At 53.6% G+C, this 17,776-nt stretch overlaps 1 non-coding gene and 1 pseudogene across 2 annotated transcripts; both read left to right on the top strand.

Annotated features, from left to right (window-relative positions):
• Positions 1-2,797: 2,797 nt before the first annotated feature.
• On the top strand, positions 2,798-17,757 carry WASH9P (WAS protein family homolog 9, pseudogene; annotated as a pseudogene). Its single transcript, NR_186787.1, has 11 exons — positions 2,798-2,836; positions 7,257-7,410; positions 13,771-13,882; positions 14,089-14,234; positions 14,407-14,543; positions 14,783-14,918; positions 15,096-15,293; positions 15,386-15,544; positions 16,204-16,356; positions 17,114-17,182; positions 17,323-17,757. The product of NR_186787.1 is annotated as a WAS protein family homolog 9, pseudogene (transcript).
• Positions 14,715-14,782, top strand: MIR6859-2 (microRNA 6859-2). Its single transcript, NR_107062.1, has one exon. It is a non-coding gene; the product is annotated as a microRNA 6859-2 (primary transcript).
• Positions 17,758-17,776: the final 19 nt, after the last annotated feature.

Raw genomic sequence — 17,776 nt, 5'->3', positions numbered from 1 at the left:
CAGCAAGACTGCCTGGGACCAACCCTGCAGCCTTAATTTCCCAGGCCCACTCAGCCCAGCTGGCCAGCAAAGGCAGGCAGGGCTTCCGTGTCCACACATGAGAATGACCTGCAGCTGTTCTTTGTCCAGGCTGAGGTCCAGGATTCCCATTGCAGCTCCTAGGAAATCTTTAAAATAAGGTCGGGGATGCGCCTGTCAGTAGATTAGGTAGGGAACTTTTATGAAGTTGAGGGTGAACCATCTGGAGGGTGAACTGGCTGGTGTGATTCTAGAACTGGGGGTGGTGCCTAGCAGTGCATTTGTGAGAAGACACAGCCAGGCTTGGTATATGATGTGGTGTGTGTGTATATTCACAGGCATCGTGGAGCATATACACTTTTTTTGTGTGTGTTGAAATAAACCTTACAGATTACCAAGTACTTTTTTTTTTTTTCTGAGACAGGGTCTCTCTCTGTCGCCCAGCCTGGAGTGCAGTGGTACAATCATAGCTCACTGCAGCCTCGATCTCCCAAGCTCAAGTGATCCTCCCACCTCAGCCTCCCATGTAGCTGGGACTACAGGTGTGTGACACCATGACTGGCTATTTTATTTTATTTTTGTAGAGATGGAATCTCACAATATTGCCCAGGCTGATCTCAAACTCTTGGGCTCAAGCAGTCCTCTCGCGTCAGCCTACCAAAGTGCTGGGATTACAGGCATGAGCCACCACGCCCAGCCAGATTACAAAATACTTTGACATCTTTTCTCTACAGCCCTCAAAAGGAGGCAGGGCAAGCACAATTAAATCCCATTACAAATGGGGTGACTGAAGCTCCATTCATGGCTTGCCCAGGGTCACACAAAGAATGAATAGCAGAGCCCTGAGCCTGTGTGCTTCCCTCTGTGCCAGGCTGCTTTACCCAGGCATGGGTGCACCTTGTGCATGGGACATTTCTCCTTTGTTGTGTCCTGAGTACCTTAAGCCACTCAGATATTGCTCAGGTGGAGTGAGGGGAAAATGTTTTCAGGTTGTATTAGTCAAAACAAAATACCACACACTGGGCGACTTTAAAATCATACATTTATCCCTCACAGTTCTGGAGGCTTGGAAGTCCAAGTTCAAGGTGGCAGCTGGACGGGTTCCCGGTGAGGGCTCTCTTCCTGGTTTGCAGACAGCCACCTTCTCTTCGCATCCTCACTTGGTGGGAAAAGACAGAGGAGAGAAAGAGAGAGAGAGAAAAATGAGATAGAGAGAGAGAGAGAAATGAGATAGAGAGAAATGAGAGAGAGAGAGAGAGAGAGAGAGAGAGAGGGAGACACAGAGACAATGCTCTCTTTTCTTACCAGATCTATAATGAGGGCCCCACCCCATGACCTCATCTAACCGTAATTACCTACCAAAGGCCCATCTCCACATACCATCACATTAGGGGTTAGGGTTTCAACATAAGCATTTGGAGAGGACATAAACATTCTGTCTACAACATGAGTGGAGATCCATCTCTTCTTTACCTCTGGTAAGGGGACCACCCGCTGCAGCCAGCGAGACAGTGGCATGTTCTTGTTACAACTCGATCTAACTCCCCCAGAAGAGGAGGCAGGGAAGGCGGACAAAACTGGGAGAGGGAGAGAGTGTTAGGAAGAGAGTAGGGTGGCCAGAGGCAGCAAATAAAATATAAAATGCTTAATTCTGAATCTCAGATAAACAACCAATAATGTTTTTTAGCATAAGTATGTCCCAAACTAAGCTTGGGACATATTTACGCTACGAAATTATTCGTTGTTTATCTAAAATTCAAACTAGCTGGGCATCCTGTCTTTTAATCTGGCAACCCTAAAAGGCAAGGGCCAAAAATGCCGGAGGCAAGCCAACGGATTCCAGGAGGGACAACTGCTGGACTTGACTGATGATGCTCTTTTTATATATTTAACTTTTTAAAAAAGCCTCTTTTCTTTCTTTTTACCAGCTTTTCACTAGCTTTTTAAAAACTGTGGTAAAACATACATAACCTAAAATTCACCGTCTAAACCATTTTTCAGCATACAGTTCAGTGGGATTAAGTAGATTCACACCGTTGTGCCGCCATCACTACCACTCATTTCCAGCACCCTTCCATCACCCCAGCCTGAAACTCTACCCATTGAACACGAGCTGCCCAACTCCGCCTTGCTTCCCCATTCCTGGCGACCACTGCTTCTGTCTCTGTGAATTTTGACTATTCTAGGCACTTCACAAAACTGGACTCATACGATATCTGTAGTTTTGCGTCTGGCTTCTCTATTTAATTCTTAAAGGGGGGTGGGAACTAAGCAGATCACAAGGGAGCTGCCCACAGAGGTAAAGACAAGGTCAGGTAGGCTGAGAGACGCAGGAAAGCGGGTCAAGGCGTAGGGCTGGAGGGCAGGGGCGGGCCCTGGGCCTGGGCTGGGGGTCCTGCCCCGGGGCGCACCCCGGGCAAGGGCTGCCCGGAGGAGCCGAGGCTGGCGGACAGCTTGGCCCTGAGCTTGAGGGGAAGGCAGCGATGGGACAAAGGACGGAGGTCTGGGAAGAGGGTCTGCAGAGCAGAAAGCACGGGTAGGGGCGGCCTGACGCTCGGAAGACAACGCATGGGAGCCGTGTGCACGTCGGGAGCTCGGAGTGAGCGTGAGTTCCGTGCCCAGGCCCGCGACTCGGCCCGACAGGACAGCGCTCCGGGTCGACGGGGTCCTGGAGCCGCGCTCGGGGAGGGCGCAGCGGAGGGCGAGCGGCGGCGTTAGGACCCGGAGGCGCGGGCGGACTGTGGGCGGCGGGGCTAGGACCCAGCGGCTCCGGCAGAGCGGAAGCGGCGGCGGGAGCTTCCGGGAGGGCGGCTCGCAGGTGAGGAGGCGTCCGGGGCCGCGGGAAGTAGGGTCGTGGGGGCCTGGCGGGGCGAAGTAGGGGACCCGGAGGGGCTGGAGGGAGGCGGGCGGGAGGCCCGGGACCGTTCCTGACCGAGAAGCCTGCGCCAAGCTGGTGTTCCGCGGCCGCTGCCCGGTGCCCGGCTCCACTGCGAACGCCGCCGCTGGGCCCCGACCGCCCGGGAGGCGTCTTGGGCTCGCCCCGGAGCTTCCTCCCTGGAGCCGCGCCCTGCACCCGGCCTTGCCCGGCCCTAGCAGGGAAGCCAAGGCTTGTGGGGCGCAGGGACCCGGGCTCTGCGGGGTCCCGGTTCCGCCTCCCCACTTCTGCGTCTTCCCGCCCCGGCCGGGTTCTGGGAAGCCTCGCGCGGCTCTTCCGCAGCTGCTGCCCGCCCGGAGCTCCTGGTCCCTCGTAGGGGACCCCACTTCTCTGACACCGCGTTGGGTTCCCGGGGCCTACAGCGAGGCCTGTAACTCCGGGAGAGACCCTGGAGCGGGGTGTGGGAGAACGGTCTGGAGGAAGGGCTCCGAGCACTTCGAAAGTATAAACCGCGGTCCCAAAGAGGCGTGCTGTGTCTGCATTTTCCTGGGAGTGCACGGTTTACATTCTGTAAAGCAGTGCTGTCGACTAGAAATATTGTGCGATACACATGTACAAGTTTTGTCACTTAAAAAGAATTTGAAAAAACTTCATAGATGCAAAAAAAAAAAACCCACCATTATTAAATAATACTTAGGTATTTGTGGAATGCATTGAAGAGTTAACAAAATGGATAGGCAGGAAATATCGCAGACCTAGAATGAATTACAGTTACCCACTGTGGAACTGAGGAGCTAGGGTTTCTCATAAAACTCCCTGATAGAAGACGACTTTTGATAAAATTTTTTTTCCGCCAACAAAATCCCCTGTCTTCTCAACTAGTTACTGTCTGTCCACTAAATAAGAGGTGGTCCGTCACTTCTTCAGATGAGCAACTACAGGCTTTTCAAAAGATAATTGCTAATCAACCCCTTTGTGCCTGGGTTTTCTTATTTGTAAAAATAGATACTACTACCTAACTCCAAAGTGTGTGGTGAAGACAAACAATTGGGGTGATGTATACTAAAGTAACGAAAGTGTTGACCACACACTACGGGCTGGTTAGTGTTAGATTCCCTTGTTTTTCCCTCAGTATCAAAAACAGATCTAATTTAGGTTTACATAAAGACAAAGTATGAAGATAAGGTGACTTACAGTTGGTACTACTAACAAAATGTTTGGGCTAAGATTTGCATTATTGCATGAAAACAACAAAACATATCAATAACAAAAAGCTTGGAATTCAGACGACAGATCCAAGTCTGGGCTTGATCTCAAGCTAGTGTTTTGATGTTGAAAAAATGTTATTTGGTCTTTCTAACCCCATTTCCTTATGTAAAATAGGGGATGATGATAAATTCACTGATAATAAGAGTTAAATGAGATTCTTGAGGAGTCAGAATGGTTCTAACATGTGTAGGTATTATTAGCAGTCATACTGTAGCATAAGAAAATACCGTCTGCTGAAAGAGGGACAATAAAGATTATCTACATGGTCATCATTTAAAAGCTACCAGATATAGGAAGAAGGGGCCATAAAATGATAACGTTATGATGATTAATTTTGATGCTTAGGTCAGAGTCCATTCTAGGATATCTGCTGCCCAAAAACAGCAGAGACTCATTTCTTTGGAATCACAGGACGCTGAGTGAGAGGAAAGAAAAAGAAAAGAAATATTTAAGTCACATATGTGATTTCTAAAAGTAAAAAGAAACAGATGAAATTAGTGATATATTTTTAAAATCCAGTATATCCCAAATATGGTTATTTTAGCATGTAATCAATATAAAATAATAAGATATTTTACATTCTTTTTTTCTAGTCTTTGAAATTTGGTGCATATTTTACACTTATGGCACATCTCAATTCAGACTATCCACATTTCAAGTGCTCAGTGGCTGCATGTGCCTGGTGGCTACCATATTGGACAGCACAGGTCTAAGGATTTCATTCCTGCCACAAGTCCAAACTCCTAGCTTTAATTTTGAGTGTTTTTAACAAACTGGCCTCTGTTTATCATTCTTTCTTCTAGTACTTCCCCAAGGATGATTGTACCCTCAGCACTCAAGACCGCTTGCGGTTCCCCTACACACTTTTTGTTCAAGCTGTTTCTTTTACCTGGAATGCTGTCTTTGCACCTTCTTCCTGGACCTGGTTCACCCTTGTTGCCTAGGCTGGAGTGCCATGGCGCGATCTTGGCACACTGCAACCTCCACCTCCCTGGTTCAAGTGATTCTCCTTCCTCAGCCTCCCGAGTAGCGGGGATTACAGGCATGCACCACCACGCCTGGCTAATTTTGTATTTTTAGTAGAGATGGAGTTTCACCATGTTGGTCAGACTGGTCTCGAACTCCCGACCTCAGGTGATCTGCCTGCCTTCGCCTCCCAAAGTGCTGGGATTACAGGCGTGAGCCGCTGCGCCCGGCCGAGAGGCACACATTCTGCTAAGAGCTTTTTCCTGACTCCCCTAACTCCAAGAGGGATTTGTCACTCCTTAGCTTTGTACTCATGACTGGAGTAGAATGAATTTAATTTGAGTTTAGTTGTTTTTGAGACTCTCCCTGGCTAGTGTAGTGTCTTATTCGTCTTTGTTGTGATCATGGTCTGCACCTAACAGATGATCAGTAGATGTTTGCAGACAGAAAGTAAACCACTCATCAGGTGTATTCAGTCCCATTCTTGAACGGGCTTGCTGTCTCCTTTTTGAGGAGATCTGTGTATGTACTCTTCTTTCACGCATATGTGTGAGCAAACACACACACACTAACAAGAAATTCATCTGAAGATGTGCACAGGAAATATCTTGCATCTTTACCCCCTTTGTGATCTTACATATGGGAGAACTGAGGCACAGAAATAAGTTAGGACAGCCAGCAAACTTGCATCAGTATAAATACAAAGAAGGGGAGGGAGGAACATGCTTGAAAGGGGTGTGCTGGTCTCAGAGGGTTAGGTTTCTCAGTTGGCTGGGCATCAGCTGGCCATGCTTTAGTTATTTGATGGGAGGAAAAATAAGTGCGAGGTGAGGAGTAACTCCTGGGCTCTGATGAGTATTCTAGGCAAGTACAGATCTGGAAAGCCTGTATGCAAAGGAGGAACTCACTGAAAAGTGCTGGCCTGAGGAGGGCAGAAGGGAGGGCTGGGGAAGCCAGCAGGGGGAGCAAAGGAGTAGGCTTCAGCTGGGTGAATCCGGTGTGGTATGTTATGTAAAATATACAAATTATTATTGGGAATAACCACGTCTCAGCAGTGCTAGTTCTCAGTTTGGAGAATGGGAAATCGAAAGGATCAGATTCAGAGACGGCAACTTACTCAAGGTCACAGCATTTTAAACCCAAATGAAATCTCCTAGGCCCTTCATGCCACACTCATCCATCCCTACCTACTTGTGTTGCAACCAAGGGCCCCACTGTAGTGCCTAGGGGAGCAGGTCTAGGGCATAGTGCCAGGCCTGATTAATGTCTTCCTTACCATTTTCCAGCGAGGGGCTGTGATTAGGCCTATTTATAGGGGCCTGGTCCCTTAATATTCTGCCTGGTGCATCTCTTGCCAATCAAATCAGTGCTGTCTGCAGTGTGATTGCTGCTGTAGTGGCACCAGGGAGAGGAGTTAATTAAACCCAATATAAATAGACTCTCCCCTCACTGTGCAATTCCAGGAGTGTTTTTCCTTCCTGTCCTCCACCCCCACAGGCACCTCTTTCCTCTTGGCCCCCTAAGCTCTAGCCTGGGTGAGCAGGGCTGGATACTCCTATACCTAGAGTCACTAGCCACTGCCCAGTCTGTTTCAGGAGCAGACCTCAAATTCCTCAGGGGTTAAAGTGGGAAGAACCCGTGTGTGCACATTTTTTGTGCTTTTCCAGAACTGTGTACCATTTGGCAGTTGATCAGGCAATCTCCCCCGCTACCCCATTTCTACCCCTTTGTTTCCAGCCTCTTTTTTCCTCTGCAACCAAGGTTTCTTGTTTATCCAAGGTGGGGAGCTGAACTGAGACAAGGTATGGAAAGGGTGCCTGGCAGGTAGCAAGCACCTTGTAGGGGGTCAGAAATGTTGCACCTTCTCTGAACTCCTCCATTGACCCTAGAGATTCCCCAGTCCCTGGCCCTGCCCTTTCCCTCATTCACTCAGCAGGCATCAGCAGAGTCCCATCTATGCGCTCCTGGCCTCTCAGCAAATGCTCTGTCCCCTACTCCCCTATCTGTGCAGGCTGAAGCTATGTGCATAGTTGGGATGAGGGCTGTGTTGTCTCAACACCACGCTGCCCTGTGGTGGGGGCGTGCCGGTGGTCGTGGGTGGCTCTGATGCTCCGGCTCCGACCCACAGGCACCATGACTCCTGTGAGGATGCAGCACTCCCTGGCAGGTCAGACCTATGCCGTGCCCCTCATCCAGCCAGACCTGCGGCGAGAGGAGGCCGTCCAGCAGATGGCGGATGCCCTGCAGTACCTGCAGAAGGTCTCTGGAGACATCTTCAGCAGGTGGGTGCTGCCACTCACCCCCACCTGATGAGAGGGCCATCCCTGTCCTGGGCAATCCCAGCAACACACCCTCTGGGAGCAGCCCCCTTGGGGAATCCTGGTCCTGGGGAACCCATCTGGTTTCCCTGTGTGGGAGGGGCTGAAGTGAGAGCCCAACTTGGAAGCTTTTACTCCTGGGAGTCCGAGAGCTCACTCCCTTCCACCCCACTTAGCCTCCTGGTTTCCTGTGGTGGCTCTGCTCTCACAACTCATGCTTTTCCTCCCATTGGAGGGCCTATTCCTTCACGTTTTCCTGCAGCCAACAAATATTTACCCAGCAGTGCTCGTGTGCAAGGCAGTGTGGGAATCTCTATATATCCAGCCATGGATAAGGCAACATACCTCTCCACCTGGAGCGCACATTCTGGCAGGAGAGAAAGACCTAAATAAGCAATAGATGATTAGTTCTTCAATAACAGTTGTGACAAGGTCTATTGATAATATTTTGTAATCGCTAATATTCATATAAACCGTGCACCACCATTGATTTGAGTGCATTAACTCACACTTCATGAGCAGGCACTGCCGTCATCTCATTTTATAGATGAGGAAACTGAGGCACAGAAAGGCTGAGAGACCTGGCCTAGTGACAGAGCCAGGATTCAAAGCCATAGATCATGGCCCCGGGTTACGTAGGTTATTACTGCATCTGTTCAGGGGAGATGGGGTACTGTGAGGCTCGTCATGGGAAGCCTGGCTTGGTCTCAGGTCAGGGAAGGCAGATGTGAGGAAATGACATTTATGGTAAAGTCTGAGGGTTGAGTGGGTGGGTTGGGAAGAACATTCCAGAAAGAAGCACATGAACTACAGCCTGGAGGTGGAGGACCTAAAAGGAAGCCAGCATGGCTGGAGCACGGAGTGGCCATTGAGGGAGGCGAGCTGGAGGGGTGCAGCTTCTTGTATTGGCAGCGCTGACCTCGCACAGTCCTTGGGCTCCAGTGACTTCACTCAGTGTTTATCTTACATGAGTGAGTGAATGGTGTTTGCTGTTTTTTTGGCAAAGGTCCCAGGGGTTGTCGGGTACACAGGTCCTGTCTTTGGCCATAAGCAAACTGAAATGAGGCTTGGTCTCCTTCCCAGGATCCCACACCATGCCTCACATGGTAGACCCCAGCGGGAAGTATGTGACTGCCTGACTCAGGTGCCTCTCGTGGTCCAAGCCATCCCTGCCCTGTCCCTTCCCTGGTTGTCGCCAGACGTGGAGCCCCTGCTCCTTCACTTTGCAGCCCCCTCTTCTGTCACCAACTGGGAACCCACCTCTTCCTGAAAGTCCTCCCCCACTGACTCACCGGCTTGCCCCAAGCTTGTCAAGAATGTCCCAGTAACCAGGGGACACACACTGAAGTGACTGAGGGGTTACCTTGGAGTTGATGCCTTGGCTCAGATCCAGCTCCCCTGTTTTCTTCCTCTGTAACCTTGGGCAACCCAACCCCTCTAAGCCTCGGTGTTCTCATTTGTGAAGTTGTGGTAATAATGGTAGCTTCCTGGTAGAATTATTGTAAATATTAAATTAATCAAAACATGCAAAGGAATGGAACAGTGCCTGGCACCTAGGAAGCCTTCAGGAAATGCTGTCTCTTCCCTGTTGATAATCTTGACCCGTACACTGCCTTTGGTTGCCATTCATGAACCTGCCACCAATAGTAACAAAGTGCTGGATGCACCTTTTGTGCTTATCTTTGTGCTAAATGTGCCTGAGGGACGCCTAGGGAAGAGGATGCAGGTCTTTAAGAGCCATCAGCTCCAGATTATGGCCACCCCATGTCCAGCACTTAGAATGGAGGCCAAAACCATTCCCTCGGAAATTGTGTTTCCTTGCCAAGATGGGGACTGCGTGGTTGCCCTTCTCTGAGGGCAGCGCTGGATTTTTGGCATCTTTCCTTTCCTGTCCTGGTACTTGGCACCTTGTAGACAGTTGCATGTCCCCTGCCCAGGGATGGGATGAGGAGAGGGCAGGAAGGCATTTCCTGGGTAGTGGAGTGCTGCGTTCATTGAGTGTGGGTTCTCCAAGCTGCTGGCACAGCGCAGGGAGGGCCAGATGCCTCTCAGGAGCCTTGGGCCTGAGTCCTGGCTCCCTCACTCCTGGGTTCCAGGTCAATGCATCTGTCTCTCCACCATGTGCTCCACCTCGTGCTGGACCTTAAGAGATACCAATTATGTGGCTGACACTGTGTCCTAGAGGCTGGAATGGGAACACATAGGGCGAGATTGATTGTTAATTGCTAGCATGAACCGCGTGGGCTTCTCAGGGTCTAGAGTGGAGAGAAATCGGTAAGAATTGGTGGCACGCCTGTCAGAACTCCCCAAACCAAGCTAAGCAGAAATTAACCAATCAGTAGAGCAGCCTTCGGAGTAAGGGCTAAAATGATGTCCTCAGGGCCTGGTTTTGCTTTTCTTCCATGTCAGTTTGCTTCTTTGGGTCTGGCTGCATTCCCAGACAGGCCATGCTGTCGTGGTAGCAAGGTGACACGACACAGGGTCAGGTCCAGCAGGAAAGAATGCTCTCCTGTGTCCCCACTTCCTCCAGAAGCCACACTCACCCATCCCACCTGGCTTGGTCCTCATGTCTATCCCAGAATCCATTAATGGGGCCAGGGGACTATGACACAACCACTTGGCTTAGACTGAGGAGCTCTGTGGGCAGCCCCACCTGAAGCTCTGGGACTAAGCCTGCGAGAGAGATGGATTCCCCAAGGGAAATGGGGCCATTGCTTGAGTAAAAAGGAAATAGTTGCTGAAGAGTAAAACCACTTGCTTACTCCACATAGGGCAGACTCCTGGAAGAGGGGGGCAGGGTAGGGAGGTGGATATGCAGGTTGCCCTGGTGGGGTCTGGAAATGGGGGCTGCAGGCTTGGAGGGAGGCCTCAGTGTGGCTTGGAACGTGGTGTATGGTGGTCTGCCGCGAAGGCCGGCCTGCACAGGGGTGGGAGGGGGGAGCTTCTGCATGGGAAGCACAGACAGCGCTGCCTCTCCCTTGCACTCAGCTCTCGGGGCATGAGAGGCTGACTTTCCGTGAGCCTGTGGGCCAGGCCTCTTTGAATGGGGCTGAGGGAGCTTTGCCCTGGTTCCTTTGTGTCCCCACGGTGCCACGGGAGGCTCCCTGGCAGGGTGTGGGGCAAGGCAGTGAGTGAAGAGTTGGGATGAGTGAGTTAGGGCCCACGGATTACTCAAGACAGGACTTCACGTTGATTCAGGAGCGTTAGGGAGCTGTGATTGGATTTTGAGCAGGGCAGGGATGGGACAGAAGAGTTTGGGGAAGGTTCCTCAGGCATCCGTCACGGAAGGGATAAGAAGGGAGAGAGAGTGGATGCCGGGGACACCCAGAAGCTGTTATTGTAGTCAGGATGCGACAGGGGTGAGGCTGCAGACAGGGGACTTGCAAGCAGGGAGGGCAGGGTGAGACATTCAGAGGAAACGACGACAGGAAATGGTGACAGATAGGGAACGAGGATGAAGGGAAGGGAGAGCCAGTGACGACTGGCAGTGGAGTGGGGAGCACCGCCACCTCTCCTCCTCCACTTGCCCCTCCTGTGGCACTGGACAAGCTAGTGGGCTTTTCGTTGTCCATGGGCTTTTTTGGTGGGGATGTGACCAGCTTTGAACCCTTCCCCTTAAACATGCTCCTCCTGCACGGAAGAGACAGGGGCAGGGGAGAGACTCTCTCCCCACCACGCAGCTCAGGCCCCAGTACAGCCCGGCCTCTGGCCTCACTGGCGTCTGTGCCCAGTGACGCAGGCATGTGAGCTCCTGGCAAATTAGCATTGCAGGCTGTGCTCTCTCCTCCGGCTCTGCTGCAGCTGGGAGTGTGCAGAGACTGGAGGGGATGACAGTCACCCCTCTGTTTTCTGTGGTGGCTCTGTTTTCTGTGGTGCTGGATGCACCTCTGCTTTCTGTGGTGGCTCCAAGAGAGTGCACGGTCCCTGCTGATTGAAAGAAGGATGAAGGGCAGAAGAGGGGCGGGGAGCTGTGTACCCTAAGATCTCATTGCCTTTTTATGCCGATTAACATGCTTTTAGCCCCTACTGAGCTTATAGTTAACAGAAGTTTCCAGGTCTTTCTTCACCTGAACTGTGTCTAAAGCAAGTTCCCTCCACCTTCTGTATTTATACGCTTGATTTTTAAAACCTAAATGTTGGGCTTCACATTTGTTCCTTGTAAATTTCATCTTGGTGATTGCAGTCTACCCTATGGCCTTTAAAAATTGTCTGAGCCTTGATTCGATCATGAAACCAACTTACCCTTCCCCTGTGTGCTGGCCCCAGTTTTCTAACCAGGTGTTGAATGAACTGGATGGACTCTGCCAGATCCCTCCGTGCAAGGCTGGAATCAGTCCATTGTTCAACTGTGCCCTTTGGGGCTGTGGTTCATTTGGCTCTGAGTTTTCCTATATGTTCTGTCCTCCAACCCCCATAGCTCCATCTTGTCTACAAGATTTTGTTAGAAGCCGTCAAAATCCTGCTGACTCGAGATGCACTGTGCTGCATGTTTTCCCCGGGCACAGCAGGCTAATAATCCTGTTACAAAGAGAAATGCTGTACATTTCGAGCAGTGCTGGCCCCTGGGACTCACCGCGGCCTTTTCTAAGTGCTTACAGACTCTCTGTTTAATAATCCATTCCAGAAATTTTCCAGGGCTCATTGTTGAGCTTGGTGTTCGCAACTTTGAGTGATCAGCCCTTCTCCTTTGTGGGAGCACCAGGACAGAGCAGCCTTTGTCCCTCCCCAGTCTCAGTTCCCTCCCACTGCCCCTGTGGACCTCGAATGCAGAGCTTATGCACCTACCGAAGGTCGTGTCAGCACCCAAGGCAGAACGAGGCTGCCCTGGGAACTAGGGTCAATTAAGACAGCTTGTGCTGGAGGACCCTTTACAGCAGATGAAGGCCTCTCCCCAGCCAGAAAAGATGGAGCACACGCTGGGTGGTGGCCCCGCTTCCTCACTGGAAGGAGATGGTGCTCTTCTTTTTTCTTTCTGAATTGTGGCCACCTTCATACCAGTCTGTCATGGAACACTTAAGCCGCTTGAGTGCCTGCTGGTACTCCCAGCCCTGCCATGCCTGAGCCCCCTGCACACAAGGAGCCAGGAGTAATCAGGGCAGACCCATTAGGGCGCGGGGACTTCTGGATTGTGAAATTGGCTCTCTGGGGGCCAAGGCCTTCTAACGTTGGTGGAAGTGGCTTTGGCTTATTGGGTCGGATTCTAGGCCATTCATTCCAACCTTTAGAGACATCCCAGCTTTCCCTAGCCCAGAGTCTGCAGCCCCTCCACCATCCCACATCCTCCCCCTCCCTTTCCTCATGAACCCCAGTCGCGCCTCTGCCTTCTCAAACCCCTCCACCATCCCACACCCTCCTCCTGCCCTTCCTCATGAACCCCAGTCGCGCCTCTGCCTTCTCATCCCTGCGCACCACACAGGCTCGCTCGTGCCCGGTGAATGCTGAGGCTGCTCTGCACATGGAGTGTGGCCCTGTGGGCAAGGGCTGGGCTCTTGGAGGTAGGGGAGCTACAGGGGCGACTGGGAGGAGGATGTCGTGTTACACACGCATCAGAGTTAACTTTGCAGTGAGAGCGGCCTTGCTGCGGCCAAAGAACATGGAAAAGCATGAGTGGGGTGATGTGCCTTAAAGCATCAGACACTTGGGCCTCGGGCATCAGGAGCCAGCCACAGGGATGTCTGGGGAAATGGCGTTCCATGAGACGCAAGCACACAAGAATGCACTTGGCACATCTGGGGAACAGCAGGCAGCTGATATCACTGGGCCCACCCCACACCAGGGAGGATGGAAGCAGGTGAGGAGCTAGACCACACTGAGGCGGTGGTCGGGACTCGGGGTTTGCTCAGTGAGCCGTTCACTATGTGCAGGGGCAGTTCCCCGTCTGAATTTAGGTGACGACACTCAGGTCCAGCCTTGCCAGTCTCAGCCTCCGGTCTCCGTTCCCCCTCTGCAGAGGCCACATTGTCTGCTGCACGTGATCATGAGGGGTTGTGAAGTGCTTGCCCCATCAGTAGCCATGTGTGCATGTGTAAATACCATCCTCTGTGTGCCCTGGAGGCTGTCCTTCAGATAGCATGTACAGGTGGCAGCATAGGGCCTGTCCCTACTGAGAGTGCAGGGAACTCAGCACCGTCAACTCCTCGACCCTGCAGGTCAGATTATCCTTGTAGAGGCCCCCTGGATGGCACCAAGATCGGCCCTGGCAAGTAGGTGACCCTGACTTCAGAGCCCTTGCCTGAGGGCCTGGCCTGGCAGCTCTGCTGTTAGAAGCAGGAGGTGTGCAGAGGGTGGGGAGCAGCCCAGCCTCTGTGATCTTCTCCATGGCAGGATCTCCCAGCAGGTAGAGCAGAGCCGGAGCCAGGTGCAGGCCATTGGAGAGAAGGTCTCCTTGGCCCAGGCCAAGATTGAGAAGATCAAGGGCAGCAAGAAGGCCATCAAGGTAGTCCCCATACCCCTGTGTCCTGAGGCTACTGGGCAGTCCCTCCATTTCCCCGTGCCTCTGAGGCTGCCCAGTCTCTGCCCTGCTGCCCACCTGTACCTTGAGCTTTCTTCTCGCCCAGGCTTCCAACTCCACCCTCTCCTGCCAAGCAATCCTAGCCCTCTGAGCCTCTTGGGGCCCCCTCAGACTTGTCCCTGTGTCCACAGGTGTTCTCCAGTGCCAAGTACCCTGCTCCAGGGCGCCTGCAGGAATATGGCTCCATCTTCACGGGCGCCCAGGACCCTGGCCTGCAGAGACGCCCCCGCACAGGATCCAGAGCAAGCACCGCCCCCTGGACGAGCGGGCCCTGCAGGTCTGCTGGCCGCGCATATAGCCTGTCACACACCAGGAGGACTGGATACTGGGGAGGAGCCGGGGCCACCATAGGGTTCTGTCCCCCAGAGGAGGCTGACTGGGATGGGATGGCAGCTGATTAGGCCCAGCACCAAATATTCACCATCCCTTGGCCATCCTGGCCCTCCCAGGAGAAGCTGAAGGACTTTCCTGTGTGCGTGAGCACCAAGCCGGAGCCCGAGGACGATGCAGAAGAGGGACTTGGGGGTCTTCCCAGCAACATCAGCTCTGTCAGCTCCTTGCTGCTCTTCAACACCACCGAGAACCTGTATGGCCAGAGGGCAGGGCCGAGGGGTGTGGGCGGGAGGCCCGGCCTGGCTTAGTGGGGACCCAGGTCATCAGACACAGGTACAGCACATAGGCCAGGAGCCAGGGGGTGACTGGGGTGGCTCGGCTCGGGAGGCCTGGGACCCCACAGTGCACGCTGTGCCCCTGATGATGTGGGAGAGGAACATGGGCTCAGGACAGCGGGTGTCAGCTTGCCTGACCCCCATGTCGCCTCTGTAGGTAGAAGAAGTATGTCTTCCTGGACCCCCTGGCTGGTGCTGTAACAAAGACCCATGTGATGCTGGGGGCAGAGACAGAGGAGAAGCTGTTTGATGCCCCCTTGTCCATCAGCAAGAGAGAGCAGCTGGAACAGCAGGTGGGAGGGGTGGGACAGAGGTGGAGACAGGTGCAGTGGCCCAGGGCCTTGCCAGAGCTCCTCTCCAGTCAAGGCTGTTGGGCCCCTTATTCCACCCATGGGAGGTGCACACAAGGTCTTGTTGGCTGCCCCTGCAGGTCCCTGTCACCTCTCACATGTCCCTGCCTAATCTTGCAGGTCCCAGAGAACTACTTCTATGTGCCAGACCTGGGCCAGGTGCCTGAGATTGATGTTCCATCCTACCTGCCTGACCTGTCCGGCATTGCCAACGACCTCATGTACATTGCCGACCTGGGCCCCGGCATTGCCCCCTCTGCCCCTGGCACCATTCCAGAACTGCCCACCTTCCACACTGAGGTAGCCGAGCCTCTCAAGGTAGGTGAGCTGGGTTCTGGGATGGGAGCTGGGCCGGGGACCTCCCTGGTCACACACCTTCTTCCCTAGACACCCCATACTTTGTGTTTCAGACCTACAAGATGGGGTACTAACACCACCCCCACCGCCCCCACCACCACCCCCAGCTCCTGAGGTGCTGGCCAGTGCACCCCCACTCCCACCCTCAACCGCGGCCCCTGTAGGCCAAGGCGCCAGGCAGGACGACAGCAGCAGCAGCGCGTCTCCTTCAGGTGGGAGCAGCTCTTTGAGGCCACCTGATTTCTGGTGTGCTCAGTGCACTCGGGTGGATTTTCTGTGGGTTTATTAAGTGGTCAGAAATTCTCAATTTTTTGAATAGTTCCCATTTCAAATATCTTGTTCTACTTGGTTCATAAAATAGTGGTTTTCAAACTGTAGAGCTCTGGACTTCTCACTTCTAGGGCAGAGGGAGCCTGAACAAGTGAGGCTCTGGGTTCCCCGTTCCTAATTAAACCAATGGAAAGAAGGGGTCTAATAACAAACTACAGCAACACATTTTTCATTTTAGCTTCACTGCTGTATCTCCCAGTGTAACCCTAGCATCCAGAAGTGGCACAAAACCCCTCTGCTGGCTCATGTGTGCAACTGAGACTGTCAGAGCATGGCTAGCTCTGGGGTCCAGCTCTGCAGGGTGGGGGCTAGAGAGGAAGCAGGGAGTATCTGCACACAGGATGCCCGCGCTCAGGTGGTTGCAGAAGTCAGTGCCCAGGCCCCCCCACACAGTCTCCAAAGGTCCGGCCTCCCCAGCGCGGGGCTCCTCGTTTGAGGGGAGGTGACTTCCCTCCCAGCAGGCTCTTGGACACAGTAAGCTTCCCCAGCCCTGCCTGAGCAGCCTTTCCTCCTTGCCCTGTTCCCCACCTCCTGGCTCCAGTCCAGGGAGCTCCCAGGGAAGTGGTCGACCCCTCCGGTGGCCGGGCCACTCTGCTAGAGTCCATCCGCCAAGCTGGGGGCATCGGCAAGGCCAAGCTGCGCAGCATGAAGGAGCGAAAGCTGGAGAAGAAGAAGCAGAAGGAGCAGGAGCAAGGTGAGCGGGCCCTGGAGCTTGCAGTCGGAGGGCCTTGGGCAAGATCGCCTCCTCCCCTCCAGCCCTGAGTCCACCGGGTGCTTTCTGCCCACCCCCTGCTCTTGCCAACTGGCCCCTGCTTCCCCTAGGGCACATGCTGGAAGCCCTGGGCCGCCACCAGAGGTCCTCAGCCCTCCTGCCTGGGCTATGGCTCCTTCCTGGTTTGGGAGCCATAGTGGAGCTTTCCTCTCTAAGCTCACCCAGCTCAAACTGACAGGAGAATCTTCTTCGACTGCCAAGAGCGGTCCAAGGCAATGGTCAGCCACTGCAGCCTCCTGAGATATTTTTAGAGACTGGACCTGAGGCCTCTGGAGGCTACTGATGATGCCTGCTGTGAACGCAGACACTGGTGTGATGCGATGCCTGCGCCTGCAGCGGCAGTGCCCTGGGCACTATGGTTTTGAGCTTGTACCCAGCGCTGCTTTTGCCTTGCTCTGTGACCCCAGGCAAGCTGCCTCACCTCTCTGGGCCAGTTTCCCCATCGTACAGTGGTGCTGCACACCCTGGCCCTGGCCCCGAGGTGGCTGGGAGGTGGCTCCTCAAACCGCCGCTGTCTCATCAGTGCCTGGTGCTGGGTCAGGGATCGACTGAGGCTCTGAGCTAACTGGGAAACACAGTGGCCTTGGAGGGCTGGGGAGTGTCATGGGGGTGGGGACAGGGAGTCACCGGTCGCATGTGACTGAACTCTTCACCCCAGTCTGTGGCTTTCCCGTTGCAGTGAGAGCCACGAGCCAAGGTGGGCACTTGATGTCGGATCTCTTCAACAAGCTGGTCATGAGGCGCAAGGGTAGGAGGCAGGGCCGCTGCCCGCCCTGGGCCAGCACCTTGTAATTCTGTCCTGCCTTTTTCTTCCTGTATTTAAGTCTCCGGGGGCTGGGGGAACCAGGGTTTCCCACCAACCACCCTCACTCAGCCTTTTCCCTCCAGGCATCTCTGGGAAAGGACCTGGGGCTGGTGAGGGGCCCGGAGGAGCCTTTGCCCGCGTGTCAGACTCCATCCCTCCTCTGCCGCCACCGCAGCAGCCACAGGCAGAGGAGGACGAGGACGACTGGGAATCCTAGGGGGCTCCATGACACCTTCCCCCCCAGACCCAGACTTGGGCCGTTGCTCTGACATGGACACAGCCAGGACAAGCTGCTCAGACCTACTTCCTTGGGAGGGGGTGACGGAACCAGCACTGTGTGGAGACCAGCTTCAAGGAGCGGAAGGCTGGCTTGAGGCCACACAGCTGGGGCGGGGACTTTTGTCTGCCTGTGCTCCATGGGGGGACGGCTCCACCCAGCCTGCGCCACTGTGTTCTTCTCTTAAGAGGCTTCCAGAGAAAACGGCACACCAATCAATAAAGAACTGAGCAGAAACCAACAGTGTGCTTTTAATAAAG

This window comes from Homo sapiens, chromosome 1 (genome assembly GCF_000001405.40).
Source record: "Homo sapiens chromosome 1, GRCh38.p14 Primary Assembly".
Taxonomy (NCBI): domain Eukaryota; kingdom Metazoa; phylum Chordata; class Mammalia; order Primates; family Hominidae; genus Homo; species Homo sapiens.
Note: the sequence above shows the minus strand (reverse complement) of the source record. Positions and strands in the feature narration are given on the sequence as shown.